The sequence below is a fragment of the Homo sapiens genome, chromosome 1, assembly GCF_000001405.40.
Source record: "Homo sapiens chromosome 1, GRCh38.p14 Primary Assembly".
Classification (NCBI taxonomy): Eukaryota; Metazoa; Chordata; class Mammalia; order Primates; family Hominidae; genus Homo; species Homo sapiens.
In genome coordinates this window covers 182831997-182848336 of record NC_000001.11, presented here as the reverse complement: position 1 = coordinate 182848336, position 16340 = coordinate 182831997, and the positions used below count along the sequence as shown (strand labels likewise).

The 16340-nt window shown below is 42.1% G+C and overlaps 1 protein-coding gene and 1 long non-coding RNA gene across 3 annotated transcripts in view, besides 2 other annotated features; one reads left to right on the top strand and one right to left on the bottom strand.

Moving 5' to 3' along the window:
- Nucleotides 1-8990, bottom strand: part of DHX9 (DExH-box helicase 9) — a 48636-nt gene extending 39646 nt beyond the window's left edge. For both annotated transcript variants that reach the window (NR_033302.2, NM_001357.5), the window contains exons 1-3: nucleotides 8881-8990; nucleotides 5660-5792; nucleotides 4903-5043 (exon numbers count right to left, since the gene is read on the bottom strand). Coding sequence is in view for 1 of the 2 variants with exons in the window: in NM_001357.5 (NP_001348.2) it covers nucleotides 4903-5043; nucleotides 5660-5770 (252 nt within the window). In the remaining variant the exon portion in view is untranslated. The remainder of the gene's footprint in view (nucleotides 1-4902; nucleotides 5044-5659; nucleotides 5793-8880) is intronic.
- Nucleotides 8524-9365: an enhancer, noted in NCBI's record as "NANOG-H3K27ac-H3K4me1 hESC enhancer chr1:182808107-182808948 (GRCh37/hg19 assembly coordinates)". NCBI's record gives its function as "activates a minimal SCP1, AML or CMV promoter by ChIP-STARR-seq in primed H9 embryonic stem cells {active_cell/tissue: H9 hESC(primed)}" and the evidence as "EXISTENCE:reporter gene assay evidence [ECO:0000049][PMID:30033119]".
- Nucleotides 8671-9100: a silencer, noted in NCBI's record as "silent region_1621". NCBI's record gives its function as "represses an Ori minimal core promoter by ATAC-STARR-seq in GM12878 lymphoblastoid cells {active_cell/tissue: GM12878}" and the evidence as "EXISTENCE:reporter gene assay evidence [ECO:0000049][PMID:35858748]".
- DHX9-AS1 (DHX9 antisense RNA 1) lies at nucleotides 8746-14665 on the top strand. Its single transcript, NR_148933.1, has 2 exons — nucleotides 8746-9025; nucleotides 10403-14665. It is a non-coding gene; the product is annotated as a DHX9 antisense RNA 1 (long non-coding RNA).

Below are 16340 nucleotides of genomic sequence, written 5' to 3'. Positions count from 1 at the left end.
TAGATGTCAGTGGCCTCCTCGAGTTACAACAACAAAAATATCTCCATACATCCCCAAACATCCCTTGAGGGGACAAAATGGTCTCCAGTTGAGAAACACTGAGTTAAAAAGTAAGTGTTACGGAGAAAAATAAAGCATTGAAGGAGTTTAGGAAGTAACCTGAGGGTGACAATGTTTATAATGTTAAATAGGACAGCTGGGGAAGAGTCCTTCAGGTATAGAAGTTTTGAGGCAGAAAGATGAGGGCTTATTTGAAGACCTATGAAGAAGTACAGCTACTGTAGCTGGAACAGAGGAAATAAGGAAGAAAGTAGGAAATCCACAGAGCATTTAATAGGAAACACCTGAGCCATGTTAAAACAATAATAAAAAAATCACCTAGGGGATTACTTCTGGTTGTAGCCAAGTAAGTTCCTGTAAGACTGACCCTCCTGCAGGTAAAATAAACTTTAGGGGGAAAAAATACAAACACACACACAACACACCAGAACTATATGCAGGCAATAAAAAATGAACGAAAAAAGCAGGTAGATTCTTGAGAGAAGTTAAAATGGGGAAGCACGGAGTATCAAGGGTCTAATTCCAGTTTACTGTAGCTTTTAGCCTGAGAGAAGCCATCCCAGGCAGCTAAACCTCCAATGAAACCATCTTTTTGGCCTGAAGAATCAGAATTAGAGTTCAGGGAAAGCAAAGCTGCTAGAAAGTGAGGGAATGCTGGAAAGGAAACAGCCAGAGAGGAGGAGCCCCGAATTCTGTATATTGAAATCTCTGGCTAACCCTTGAAAACCACTCATGTACAGGGCAGATTCCAAGCTGCCCAGCAAAGGAGACCTGAAGGACTCTTCCATGGCTGTCCTAAATGATCAGAAAACTGAGGTGAGATCTGAGTTAACATCCAAAAGACAGCATTTGCAGTTTGAGTCCAGTTAAATTAAATGCCTGATTAAAAACAAAACAAAACAAAACAAAAAAACCAAATCAATGCTCTTTGGAGGAGTATAACATTATTCAGAGTCTCCACAGCATAATATTCCAATGCCCAGAATGCAATAAAAAATTATTTGATACACAAAGAGGAAAATGTGATCCAACCTCAAGAAAATATACCTATCAAGAGAATCCAACCCTGAGATGACTCAGATGTTAGTAGTAGTAGGCAAGGATTTTAAAGCAGCTATTAGAATTAAGCTTCATGACATAAAAGAAATCCATATTTATATTACAAACATACACTTATAACGAATGAAAAGAAATGCCACCAGAGAAAACATACAGAAAAGAATAAGCTGGAGATTTTAAAAGTGAAAAAGGTAGTGTCTGAAATACACTGGGTGGGCTTAGCAAAATGGAAGGGACAGAAAAAACTATCAAAGAATCTGAAGATAATCAATAAAAATTATTCAATTTGAGAAACAGTGGAAAAAATGATAGGAAAAAAAAAAGAGAGCCTCAGGGACCTGTGGGATATCAAGTCTTTATAAATATAAACACCAAGAGGAAAGAAGAAAAAATAAAACAAAAAATATCTTAAATAATAGCTAAGTCTCTCAAAGTTGGTGAAATACATAAATCTATGGATTCAATAATCTCAGCAAACCTTGAACAAGTTAGAACACACACATACAAAAAAACCCATGCCCGGTCACAACACAAAATACTAAAAACCAAAAATAACAGGAAAAGATCTTAAAAACACAGACTACCACATTACATATGGGAGAGAGTGATTTGATTATAGCTGACTTCTTACAGAAAACAGCAAGTAGACAGTGTCATATTATCTTTAAAGCCTATCTGGTCTCTGGCTGGACTCAGTGGCTCACGCCTGTAATCCCAGCACTTTGGGAGGCCAAGGCGGGCAGATAACCTGAGGTTGGGAGTTGGAGACCAGCCTGACCAACATGGAGAAACCCCGTCTCTACTAAAAATACAAAATTAGCCGGGCATGGCGGCACATGCCAGTAATCCCAGATACTCCTGCCTGAGGCAGGAGAATCGCTTGAACCCGGAGGCAAAGGTGGCGGTGAGCCGAGATCATGCCACTGCACTCCAGCCTGGGCAACAAAAGCGAAACTCCATCTCAAAAAAAAAAAAAAAAAGTACATCTGGTCTTCAATCCCATTTCCCTGGCATAGAAATCCTAAATCCTTATAATCTCCTAAGTGGAGACTTTCTGTATGCTAACGAGTTGACTGCTGGCTGGCAGGCCCTAGGTAGCTTCAGGTGTGGGGGGATGGTCACCAGAACCACCAAGGAAAGATTAGAGGGCTGAAACTTTCGGTCCCACCTCCCAGCCTCTGGGGAAGTGAGAAGGGCTGAAGGTCAAGTCACCAATGGCCAACGATTTAATCAATACTGAATAATGAAGTTTCCATAAAAACCAAAGGACAGGGTTTGGAGGGCTTCCAAATGGCCGAACAGGTGGAGGTTCCTGAAGAATGGTGTTCGAGGCAGGGCATGGGAGCTCCCTGCTGCCTCCGCCATATCTTGCCCTACTTATTTCACCAACTGTATTTTGTAGTATTCTTTATAATAAACTGGTAAATGTAGGTTTTCCTGAGTTCTGTGAGCCACACTAGCAAATTAACTGACCCCAAAGAGGCAGTCATGAAAACCATAACTTGAAGCTAGTCAGTCAGAAGTTCTAGAGGCCCAGACTTGCAAGTGGTGTCTGAAGGGGCTGGGGAGTCTTGTGGGACTGAGTCCTCACCCTGTGGAGTCTGACGCTATCTCCAGGTAGTGTCAGAGTTGAACTGGAGGATACCCTGCTAGTGACTGCTGCAGAACTGATTGCTTGCTTGGGGTGTGTGGAAAAAGTCCCCCACCTCCACCCCACATTTAGTCACAGAAATCTTCTTTGTTGATTGTTGTGGTATGAGAGAAGAGGAAAATTGTTTTTTTTTTTTTCCACTTACATACCAAAAGAGGGAAAAAAATATCTGGTACCCCAGAATTCTACATCCAGTGAAAATATTCTTAAAGAAGGTAAAATAAAAATATTTTCAGAAAGAGAATAAGAGAATTTGTCACTAGCAGATCTACAAGACCATAGAGAAGAGCCTAAAAGATAAAGAATAGAGGGAGACTTCAAACATGTAAAAGACATTTGCAAAACTGTTTTCTCTACCAGAAGGCATTTTTAAGATGATCTTGCCCAATCCCTTCATTTTACAGATAGGCAAACCAATAAAATTAAAGACTGTAAGATACTATAATTACCCAGCAGTTAATCTACCGGAAAGTAAGTCTATCGAGTTCTTAGTCAAAGGAATGGAAGGAAATAAGATTTCTTTCATAACGAGTCAGAATACTGTCATAAACAAGGCAGAATACAAAAATTCAGTAACAGGACCCTGTTAAAACTGGCATAGACAGGCTGGGCACAGTGGCTCACACCTGTAATCCCAGCACTTTGGGAGGCTGAAGGGGGCGGATCACTTGAGGTCAGGAGTTCAAGACAAGCCTGGCCAACATGGTGAAAATCTGTCTCTACTAAAAACACAAAAATTAGCTGGGCGTGGGCCAGGCGCCGTAGCTCCCACCTGTAATCCCAGCACTTTGGGAGGCCGAGGTCAGGAGTTCGAGACCAGCCTGGCAAAAAATGGTAAAACCCCGTCTCTACTAAAAATACAAAATTTAGCTGGGCATGTTGGCAGGTGCCTGTAATCCCAGCTACTTAGGAGACTGAGGCAGGAGAACTGCTTGAACCCAGGAGGTGGAGGTTGCAGTGAGCACTGCACTCCACCCTAGGTAACAGAGCAAGACTCCGTCTTAAAAAACAAAACAAACAAACAAACAAAAAAAACCTTATTTCTTAAAAACTACTAGAGCCTAGTGTAGCGGCACACACCCACAGTCCCAGCTACTGGGGAAGAGCTGAAGTGGGAGGATGGCTTGAGGCCAAGAGTTTGATTGAGCCCCAAAAAGAAAAAAGGCAGAAAAACAAAACAAAAATCCCCCAAAACAACCTACTAGACAGAGGTATTTGTTGCATACTTACGTAATATAATTAAGATAATCATGACATAAAAAACACAAAAATACTCCATTGCATAAAATACTATTTTGTTATATAAGGACATGTCAGCCAGGTGCAGTGGCCCATGCCTGTGATCCCAGCACTTTGGAAGACGGAAGTGGGTGGATGGATCACTTGAGGTCAGGAGTTCAAGACCAGCCTGGCCAACATGGTGAAACCCTATCTCTACTAAAAACATAAAAAATAGCTGGGCATCATGGAGCGTGCCTGTAATCCCAGCTACTCGGAGGCTGAGGCAGGAGAATCGCTTGAACCCAGGAGGCGGAGGCTGCAGTGAGCCGAGATCACTCCAGCCTGGGCGACAGTGCAAGACTCTGCCTCAAAACACAAAGAACTTGCCAGAAGTGGTGGCATGCACCTGTAGTCCAGCTACTAAGGGGGTTAAGGATGAAGGACTGCTTGAGCCCAAGAGTTTGAGGCTGCAGTGAGCTATGGTTGTGTCACTGCATTCTAGCTTGGGTAACAGAGCAAGACCTCATCGCTTACGGGGCAGGGGGAGTGTCAATGGGAGCAAACATGTCTAAAATATTACTGATTTTTCTATTTTATTTAAAGTATTATCATTGGTAATGAATGGAACATAACAGACTCTGAAATTTCTGGTGTATAAATACATGAAATAAAGCCATAAGACACAAAGATTAATGGAATTTCTCAAGCCCCTAAGACAGGTATATAATAAGGATGCAATCCACATCTTCAGAAATTTTGTCCAGTGCTGAGACAAAACAAGATGCCAAATTTCATTACGAAACACGATATATCTGAAAACAGTGAAAAATTACTATCTTGAGTCTCTTACGCATATTGAGTTTGTACAACTTTACAACATACATCTCAAGTGCTTCGCCATAGGTACTTACCCCAAAAGCTGGAACTTCTTCACTCTTTATTTCATTTATTCGAACCAAATAGTTAACAAAGTCTCTGGCAGCATTGCTTTGTGCATCTTTTTTATTGGTGGAATTTCCCATGCCAGTGTAATTATAACCTTCCACCTGAACCTTTAAAAAAAAAAAAAAGTACTAAGAGACTGACCTGGGTAATTCTGAGATTTTAAAAAGTCGTAATTCAGTAGTCCATTAAGAGACAACAAACAGCTAACTTTAGGAAATATACTCTATAAATATAAATATAAAAATAAGAGAATGCATGAGCTACTGAAAAAGCTTAAATTGTGTTGTATCCAAAAATAATTTAAGTGGCTCAGATTTTTTTTTCTCATATAACAGAAGGTTCACATTAAAATCTGATTCTGTAATATCCATGAACAAGCTCTCCATTTGTATTTAAGCACTTTGATTTGAAGCAATCAAGAATTGCTCTGCTTTCTAAACGTGCTTATAAAACTGCAAACAGTTGATCCAACTTTTCCCATCCCCACTACTGGTACTGAGGAAGCTGAGGAAGATATAGGCTCTAATTAGAATAATTTACCTGTCAGATTGTTTTAAAAGTAATGCTGACTTGAAAATGATTTACAATAGCAGTCAAGTCACAATAAAGAACTGTCGTTTCCTAATGTGCAACACATTAACATCTCCAAACAGAAAACATTTTTCTTTTAACCCCAAAATGAACCTCATAAATCACATAAATGCAAACTGTATTCTTCAGTACCTCACACATGAATTTCTGCCTGTTTTTGTTCCCCACTGCTCTAATTTCATAGGATGGGGTCATCTTCCTTTTGCCACACCAGGCATACAGAAAATTTTTAACGTCACCCATGATTCAAGTGTCTTCTTCAGATCTAAGAAAACAAAAGTCAGTTAAAAACAGCATTTATAATAGCAAAAACTGGGAGGAACCAATTATCTAGATTACTGAATCTGGGTTAAACATAGGATATTCTATCATGTTGCTATTAAGACTCCCCATAAATTTTAACGACATAATTGGAACGTTTATATGTTGTAAGAAAAAGGATACAAAACGGTATGATTTGAACTTCATGAAAAGTACATATACATGATCAAGACTGGAAAGAAATACCCCCTAAAATGGTTATCTTTGGGGACTAAGAGTGATTTTTATCTTTTCTTACAAAGTATTTTATATAAGGCCCTATATTCTACAACGGGCACCTTATATATTTAACTCAGTTCATCCTCACAACAATGGCACACAGATATGGTGGGTACTATCATTGTCTTTTCAGGAAGTAAGAAACTAAGATTTAAAAAAGTAACTTCCAAGTCACCCACCGTGGAGGCCTAAATTCAAATCCAAACTACTATATATTAAGAAAGTTATCATTTGCATATAAATTCAATGTTTTATTCTCATTCTGATTATGACCACTAGCATATTGTCCCCAAAGTTGTAGGCCATGTATTAATAATATAATAAAGTTCAAATACATTAAGCACTCAGTACTGAAGACGGTAACCTATTAACTTAAATGTTCTATACCAAATCTCTCCTTTAGGCCTTTTTATTAAAATTTGAGGATATTAAAGTTTTCTTGAAGTGCAACAAGTCTATAAAATACCACAAGATATGGAGCCTATCAGTCTAAATGCTGAGTCTAAACTGTAAGCAAGATATGAGACCACATTTATAACCAGAGAAAATAAAATATGCTATGAATTTAGTTTGCTGTGAGAAGAAATCCCATTACCAGCATTAAACCGTCTGCTTCACGTTTCACGTTTGATGCATTTTGTTAGCACCTAAGTCTAACGTCATCAAACTGCACCCCTAGCATAAATTTGTTACGTCTGAGTGGCCACAGTCTAACTCTGGTCATCCATTTGGCGAAGGGAATGTCCTATTAACAAAAAAGCCGTGGAAAGCTGAAAATGTTTATCTGGAAATTCCACCTCGTGAATAATTAAACAACAAGCCCTCATGGTGAATGAGTAATATGAAATACGAAGGACTATACTATCAAACTCCTGTCTCCCTAGTCTCTTACAACCCCATAATGTTCAATACCAACTACATGCTATCGATGCCCAAATACATATATTTAAACTTTAGTCTTTTCTCTCTTTTTTTTTTTGAGACGGAGTCTCGTTCTGTCGCTCAGGCTGGAGTGCAGGGGCGAGATCTTGGCTCACTGCAACCTCCGCCTCCCAGGTTCAAGCGATTCTCCTGCCTCAGCCTCCCGAGTAGCTGGGACAACAGGCGCCCGCCACCACGCCCAGCTAATTTTTTGTATTTTTAGTAGACACGGGGTTTCACCGTGTTGGCCAGGATGGTCTTGATCTCCTGACCTCTTGATCGGCCCGCCTCAACCTCCCGAAGTGCTGGATTACAGGCGTCAGCCACCGCGCCCGCCCGTCGTTTCTCTTTAAAGTCCAAAATTAAGTTCATCCAACTGTGGCACTAACTCACCCATTTGCATGCTAACTTGGCATCTCAGTCAAAACAGAATTTTAAATTTCCCCTCAAATCTGTTCCAACACCCTACCCCTACATTTCGGTTTCCATAAACGGTACGACATCCACCAAGTTACTCCTGGCACAAGTTGAGAGTCGTCCACTCCCTTAAGATTCTCCATAGCTATCCCTTGTAGAACCCTTAATGTGTGTCAAACAATATCCATAATAGATCATCTAAATGGAACTATTTTACTTAATCCTTAGTAACCTTGTACAGGTAAGATCACTATCCCTTTAGAGAAGGGGAAACTGAGACAAAGAATATCTTGCTTCAGGAAGACAGAGCTCCTAATTATAAGAGCAAGAATTCGGGCGGGCGCGGAGGCTCACGCCTGTAATCCCAGCACTTTGGTAGGCCAAGGCAGGCGGATCACGAGGTCGAGAGATCGAGACCATCCTGGCCAACATGATGAAACCCCGTCTCTACTAAAAATACAAAAATTAGCTGGGCGTGGTGGCGCGCGCCTGTAGTCCCAGCTACTCCGGAGGCTGAGGCAGGAGAATCACTTGAACCCGGGAGACCGACGTTGCTGTGAGCCGCCATCGCGCCACTGCACTCCAGTCTGGCGACAGAGCGAGACTCTTGCAAAAAAAAAAAAAAAAAAAAAGGCGCAAGAATTCCAGAAAACGTAGCCTGACTCCAGATCTACTACCTTCCACCACTACGCATTTCTGCTTCAAAATACGTCCCCTATCCATTCGTTTCTCCCCATCTCTCCTGCCACCACTACTGCACACCCGGGCTAGTGAAATATTGTCCTACACGGTTTTTGTTTCCACTCTTGCCACCCTAAAACCCATTCTCCTTTGAAGGCCTTCTCGCCACACTCCAGTCACATGGCCTGCTTTCAGCTCCCGCCCAGTTTCTGCCCTTAAGCGATAACTAATCCCTTCCGCTTCTGCAGGCTCTGCTTTTCCTTCGCGTTGGCCGAGGTTATCAGCTCAAAGCCTCCCTCCTTCGAGACGCCTTACCTCGCTATACTAGCCAAAGGCGCTCTCCCTTTACATTCTTCAATTTTTTTTCCTCTACCCACAAGGCCTGCACGACGGCGCCAGTTATTCGTGGCTTGAATGAATGAAGAGCCCTAGGCCAGTGGCGCCCCGGCGGCAACCACCACAGGCGAAGCACCCCCTTCCCTCAGCCGCCGCGGTGCCCCGGCGTACGCAGGCCAGAGGAGGAAGCGCGCTTTGCCTGCTAGAGGCAGCAGCGGGAAACGCTGGGCGGAGGAGAGGGGAGGGGGCCACAGGCTGCCCGGACGGCGCAAGCGCATCGCGGCGAGGCGCGCACGCAACCCGCAATCCGGGGACCCGCGGGCGGCTCGTCCCTTCCCCCACCCCCAGCCGCCGCCGCCGCCCGCGCTTCGCAACAAAGCCGGCTGCGGAGCCATGGTCCACGGCGCCCGCCCGCGACCCCGCCGCCCCGCATGGTAGCCGGAACGTCTCTCCCTTACCAGCCTTCGCTTCCTGGTGCCCAGCTCTTAGGACCGTGTGTGACTCTGGCCTTCTACCGAGACAACAGAGAAACGCACAGCAACTCGCATGGAGGAATCGGCGAAATGGCTCCGACCGCGGCGCTAGGGGGCGGGGCCAGCGAGCGTACGCATGCGCAGAGCGCGTGCCAGGGCGGGGGATGGCGAGGGCGCGCCAATGGAGGGGGCGGGGCTCAGCAACCTCGCGGCGCGGAAGGGTTTCGTTGCTAGGGAGATGGGCTGAGCCGGGCGGGCATCGCGCCAGACCTGCTACTCTGGATAATCCACTCTCCTGGATAATCCACTACCCTGGATAATCGGCTGCCCGCTTTTGCGCATGTTAGGGAGTTGACGGCCTGTAGCATTCTGATGCAGCAAAATATTTCGCAGGGTCTGTCATAGGGATCTCCGGTGAGAGGAGGTTCCCTTCGAAGGCAGAACTGGAAACCTTGCTGCTAACTTGGTAGGGTTGTTGAGATAATTACATGAGATGGCATATGAAGGGCGGCTTAGTTCAATACCTGGCATGTAGTAGGTGTTCAGTGGGCGTAGTTACCGGATTGATTCAGATAGTCTGAACGCCAGTGTCTCTTGAAAGAAATAAACTGGCCGGGCGTGGTGACTGTAATCCCAGCACTTTGGGAGGCCGAGGTGGGCGAATCACTTGGGGTCAGGAGTTTGAGACCAGCCTGGCCAGCGTGGTGAAACCCCGTTTCTACTAAAAAAAAAAAAAAAAATACAAAAATTAGCCGGGCATGGGGGCGGGCGCCTGCAATCCCAGCTGCTTGGGTGGCTGGGCGGGCTCCTGCAATCCCAGCTACTCGGGAGGCTGAGGCAGGAGAATCGCTTGAACCCCGGGGTCGGGGGCGGAGGCGGAGGTTGCAGTGGGCCGAGATCACGCCATTTTCTGGGCGAGAGAGCGAGACTCCGTCTCAAAAAAAAAAAAAAAAACCATGAAAGAAATAAGCTCAGTGAAGGCGGGCATTCTGCCTGGCTAACGCAGGTCGCTCCTTGCCGTGCCTGGAACATTACTGTAAGTGCTCAGCAAACTACTTTAAGGTAGGAATAAAATCTGCAAGGTTGCTTTTGTTTAAATTGGATAACCTTTTGTGTTCCAAGTCTTTGGAGTAATTTTGTGTTCCAAGTCTTTGGAATAATTGTGTCCTTAATTATTATACTAGTCACTGTTAAATTTTGAAACTCCAGTGCGTCCCATGAAGGTAATGATACAAAACATTTCCAGCTGGGATTGTTCCAGGGAATCCAGACTAATCAATTATCTGGGCTCATTATATCTATGGATCTTTATTTTTCACCTCTTTCCTTATGTTTTTCTTAATCCTTCTAGCTGATAGTGATCACTCCCTTTAAAACTGTCATTCTTAAAATCAGAACAACATAGTTTATCATTTACTTATTATTTTCTTCATGTGATTGTTCTCCTTAATTAAGAATAAAATCATTGAAGGAAAGACCTTAATTTTTTTTTTTTTGTACCCTTCAGGGTGTTGAAAGCAGCAGGGGCCTAGAAGACATTAAACCGATACCACAGAAATACAAAGGATCATTAGAGACTATTATGAACAACTATATGCCAACAAATTGGAAACCAAATGGAAATGGATAAATTCCTGAACAGATACAACTTACCAAAATTGGACCAAGAAGAAATAGAAAACCTGAAAAGACCAACTATGAGTAATGAGATTAAATCAGTAATATAGAGTCTCCCATCAAAGAAAAGTCCAGGCCCTGATGGCTTCACTGCTGAATTCTACTGAACAGTTAAAGAAGAACTCATACCAGTTCTCAAACTCATCCTGTGAGGGCAGCATTACCCTGATACCAAAACTAGATATGGACACAAGAAAAAAAATCTATAGGCCAGTATCCCTGATGAACATAGATGCAAGAATCCTCAACAAGACCAGGTGTGGTGGTTCATGCCTGTAATCCCAGCACTTTGGGAGGCCAAGGCAGGTGGATCACCTGAGGTCAGGAATTTGAGACCAGCCTGGCCAACATGGCAAAACCCTGTCTGTACTAAAAATACAAAAATTAGCCGGGCAAGGTGGCGTGTGCCTGTAATCCTAGCTACTTGGGAGGCTGAGGCAGGAGAATTGCTTGAACCTGGAGGGAGGAGGGGCAGAAGTTGCAGCGAGCTCAGATCGTCCCACTGCACTCCAGCCTGGGTGACAGAGTGAGACTCCATCTCAAAATAAGTAAATAAATAAAGAGACTCAACTAGCATAAATGAATTGCAAGTGTTTTATAGTATATAATGAGCACAACAAAAGTATCAATATATTACATGGAAATACATTTTTCAAAGCTGGATCTTTAGCTTCCAAGGATTAAGGAGAATTTTGTTACTGAGTTGGTTCTTAATTTAGGCTCTGCACCTGAGACCTAGAGTCCCCTGGGATTTGGGTCCGAGGACTGGCATTACCTTTGTAGGTGGCTCTTGGCAACTAGCACTGTCTAAGATCTTAACATTTGCAAATGAAGCCTTAAAACATGTCCCAAAAGTATGGAAAGTGGGCCGATTTCAACACAACCATTACCTGTTCCTGGTAGCTGACCAACTAGGAGATTTCAGAGGTCAAGTGGGACAGAGCAGGGTAGGGAATTTTTTTTTAAGCTTTATTATAAAACAGGTAACTTTGTCCCTATCTTAAGAATTTGGAACTGAGGCTATAGGTCACTCAATGATCAAATAATGAAAGGTCTGCTTCAACTGGACTACTTAATATTTCACATTTACCTTTTTGACTAGAAATAACTGATGAAAGTTCACTTAGTTTGGTGGGAAATAAGAGATACAAAGATATCTTCTCCAGGATGAGACTCCCAAAAGCAAATGTTCTCTGAGTACCTCTGTCGCTCAAATTTAAGCCCTTTGGAGTTCCTTTGAGCATGGTTCTGCCCTCATATTTCTGATCACTCCCTCTAGACTCCTACTCAACTTCTCTTCCTCTGTGTGCACTCCAATTGCAAGTCACACCCAGGTTCTGTTCTTAGCACTCTATATACCCTCTACCTGGAGAGTCTTATTCTTCTATATTCCAACCACCATCCATATGCTGATATGGACTGAATATTTGTATCTCCCCCAAATTTTTATGCTGAAGCCCTAATCCTCAATGTGATGGTATTTGGAGATGGCGCTTTTAGGATATAACTGGGTTTAGATGAGGTCATGACAGTAGAGCCCCCATGGTGGGATTAGTGCCCTTATAAGAGGACAAGACCAGAGCCTTCTCTCCTCTGATATAATTACCCACATAAATCTTGACATATTGAAGAGTTGGTTGATCTCTTAACGAAGGGGTCTCCAACTCCTGGGCTGCAGACCGGTACAGGTCCATGGCCTGTCAGGAATGGGGCTGCACAGCAGGAAGTGAGCGAAGGGCGAGCAAGCATTACCGCCTGAGCTCCGCTTCCTGTCACAGCAGCAGCAGCATTAGATTCTTATAGGAGTGTGAACCTTATTGTGAACTGCAGATGCAAGGGATCTAGGTTGCGTGCTCCTTATGAGAAAATGCCTGATGATCTGAGGTGGAACGGTTTCATCCTGACACCATCCCTCCCAGGCCCCTGGTCCGTGGAAAAATTGTCTTCCACGAAACCTGTCCCTGGTGCCAAATAGGTTGGGGACCGCTGGTTTAAAGGACTGATGACTCTTAATGCAATGAGTGACACAGATGAAGTATATAATCTGGATTCCAGCAGAAATGGTAGTCTAGATTTTGAGAATGAAGAATAGAACCTATCTGATACTTCTAAAATTATTTTCTTGTTAATAATTACGGTCATTCAAAAGCCAATTTCTATTAGACGTCTTCCTTTTTTATTGCTTGTTGTACATAAGTGAATATTTATCTTTTCTATAAGCAGTTGTAACATTGGAAGTCATTTTTCTGTCTCCATTGTACCAGTTCTTCTTGAACCATTTGTTAATCTACAAGTTCTATGGCTATATAGAAATCTATTCACATTCACAGGATTTTGCAACATGTTTTGCTCCATTTTTACAGTTACATTTGCTTTCTCTGTATTTATTCTACAGGAATTAATTTATTTTATAGTTTGGCTTGCTTCTCAGTTATGTAGTCTTGAAATGCCATATTCACATTTGCTTTTACGGTTCCCACATTAAGGTTCAGGGCTTTATTTACCCATGCATTTGTATATTTGAGCATTTTTGTTGCTTGCTTTATACAAGCTTTAACTGAGACTAATACATGTCTTTCTTTTCTTTTTGTAGAGACAGGGTCTTGTTATGTTGCCCAGGCTAGTCTCAAACACCTGGCCTCAACTGATCCTCCCACCTCAGCTTCTGAAGGTGCTGGGATTACAGGCATGAGCCACCACAAGAACAACACATTTCTATAAGGTTATGGGGTTTTACTTTTTTCCAGTGTTAATTAGTTTCACATATCTAGAATTTGTAATTTCTTATTGGATACTAGAATTACTGTATTTATTTACCTGAACAAATTAATGTTTCCCTCTACAAACTACTTTAGAAAGATTTTCAATAAAGGTAAATGGGATGTAATAATCTATTAAGAAAAAATGACTCAGAGTGGAACCTGTAGCAAAATATAAATTTGCTGTATTTAAGAGTAATTGAAAGCAAAAGATTCCAAAAGCTTGAAAAAAATGGAGATGCCCTAAATAAACTTACCATTGAAAAATAACAGAAAATGTTGAATACAAAAAAAAAAATGTATTGCTGTGCTGCCAAGAAAGAAAATGCTTTAGAGGTAAACATAAATGAAGTGAATGAATGAATCCAGAGAGGCAAGAGAACCCTGACGTAAGCACCTACCCTGAAAGGGTCTGCTGATTTTTAATGAACTTGAGCTTCCTTTTAATAAAAGCTGCATTGGGGCTTACGAGAAAGGAGACAAAAGAGACTGCCCAACATGCAGAGGCTGAGAGGAGACCTACACATAAACCAGAAAGCCTTATATCTTCAGTGAAAAGTGAACAACAATAGCAACAATGAGAAGCCAAACCAACCAGAAGAGGGGTATAATAAGGAAACTTGTCTATCAAAAACTAGATGCTAGGTAGAATAAAAAGACTTACTTCCTCTGATATCCAAAAAAACCTCAAGCCAATTATTTAAAGCGGTTATTAGTCAACAGAGATAAATCACTTAGAAGGATTAAAATTATATTCTCTTTGGTGGAATATTCTTCTATCCAGACCTCAAATAATTCCTATAAAATTCCACTGAACATAAGCTCGAGTTCAAAAAATCATAAAACGGGTGAGGATCTTAAGTACCTCTGATGAGTGGCAGGGTATAAGTGGCTCATGTGGGTGATCCCAACACTTTGGGAGGTTGAAGTGTGGGATCACTTGAAGCCAGGAGTTCAAAACCAACCTGGCCAACATAGTGAGACCCTGTCTCTGTCTCTAAAAAACAAATAAAGTCCAATGAGTTGAGTGCCAGCAGAAAAAGAAAACTGACAGAATTATATATAAATGTTTTAGATACTAGAATTATCTGCTACTGAATAGAAATATACCTTTTCCTCGTTATTATGTTTAATTCACTCCTGAAAACCCTACTGCTAAGTGAAAAGCCACTAAATGAAAATAATATTTTAACTGGAAAATCATGATGCATTCTCTGTAAACCCAAGAAAACTAAACAATTTCAGACCAAAAAAATCAATTTTTCCAGAGACAAGGTTATATCAACAAGTTGAAATAATAAAGACAGTTTATTTACAAACTGTAATGTACTGAAGGCTTGTTGTAAACTTTCTTCTTTCTGTACCAATTTTTCAGTCTTTAGGGGGGCCTATAGTTATTTTACACTCTAAATTTATAGCACTTAAAGTTACAGCACAGAAAAACAGTGTGAGTTTAATGTTCCTATGACTTACAACACCTTACAAGAACTGGCTCCTTTGCAGTCCCTTTAAATTAATCACTTCCTACTCTTTCTCCCTGGTGTCTGAGCTCTGATTCATTGGCTTCTGTTCAGTTTTTCACACTCCAGACTCTCCCATGGCTCAGAACTGTCAAATATGTGGGTCCTACCACCTGGAATGCACCCTCTGCTACTCTTCACCTGACTGGTTTCTTTCCAACATTCTAACTTCAGATTAAGTCTAATGGACCCAGAGAAGCCCCCTCTCACTACCTTGTGGAAATTGGTCCCTCTTCTGCACCTCCATCTCCCACCACTTTCCTCTGGCCATATTGAAGGATCTTGAAAGACATACAGATAGGTACAGTTCTATATAGACAAATGAAAGAGCAAAAGGCAGAATATACTTAGTGTTTTAACTGAATGATTCTGAAGTTCTGCTCAAATTGGGAAGTCAAACCTGATTGAGGTTATTACCTTAGGAAAAGGACAGTACTAATTGGCCAATATTCAGGGGAGTTCAGATAGTAACTGCAACCTGAAGACCAGCTAGGCCTGTGATATGGTTTGGCTGTGTCCCTACCCAAATCTCATCTTGAATTGTAGTTTCCATAATCCCCATGTGCCATGGGAGGGACCTGATGGGAGTTAACTGAATCATGAGGGTGGTTACTCCCATGCTGCTGTTTTCGTGAGAGTGAGTTCTCACGAGAGCCGCTGGTTTTACAAGGGTGCCTTTTGCTCAGCACTTCTCCTTGCTGCCACCATGTGAAGAAGGATGTGTTTGCTTCCCCTTCTTCCATGATTGTAAAGTTTCCTGAGGCCTCCCCAGCCATGCTGAATGGTAAACCTCTTTCCTTTATAAATTACCCAGTCTCAGATACATCTTTATTAGCAGCATGAGAATGAACTAATACAGGCTATGAATATTATTTGCCACTCTAACATGCTTTAAATGTGTCCACTCATTCAAGCTGAGGGTGGATCACTTTGTTTCACCCTAGTCTGAGGATTCTCAAGAATGTAGTATGTGGTCATTATCCCACCTCCTTCTACCTGAGGTAGGATAACCTTAAAATGGTACAAACTGGTCTTGGACTGTAGACCATACTGAGATGCTGATGCACTTGCCCGCTTGTGGGAACCCACTTCCCCATGACCTCAAAGATAACCTTGTTATGTGTGCTTGCTGATAGATGAGAAGGCTTGTCTCTCACACCAAAGGCTGGCATTTGTGACAATTTCTGCGCCTATAGGGCCTAACCCAACATCTGCCTCAAACATGGGATGCTGATATTCATGAAGGGCATTCTAGCAGAATATATCAGAGAAAATATATCAGAAGTGAATGTGTGATTGATGTATAATCTCCTTAGGTGGTCCCTCTGGAATAGAACTTGAACACTCTCTGTAACTTGTCTCCAGATAAAGGTAACACATCCTGCTGGATATAGTTCTCTATGTATTTTGTTGAATCCATTCCATTATATTTATTAATTGTGTGATTAAGACTTAAGAAAATGCTTTAGGGTTTTCCTTCTAGTTGTGT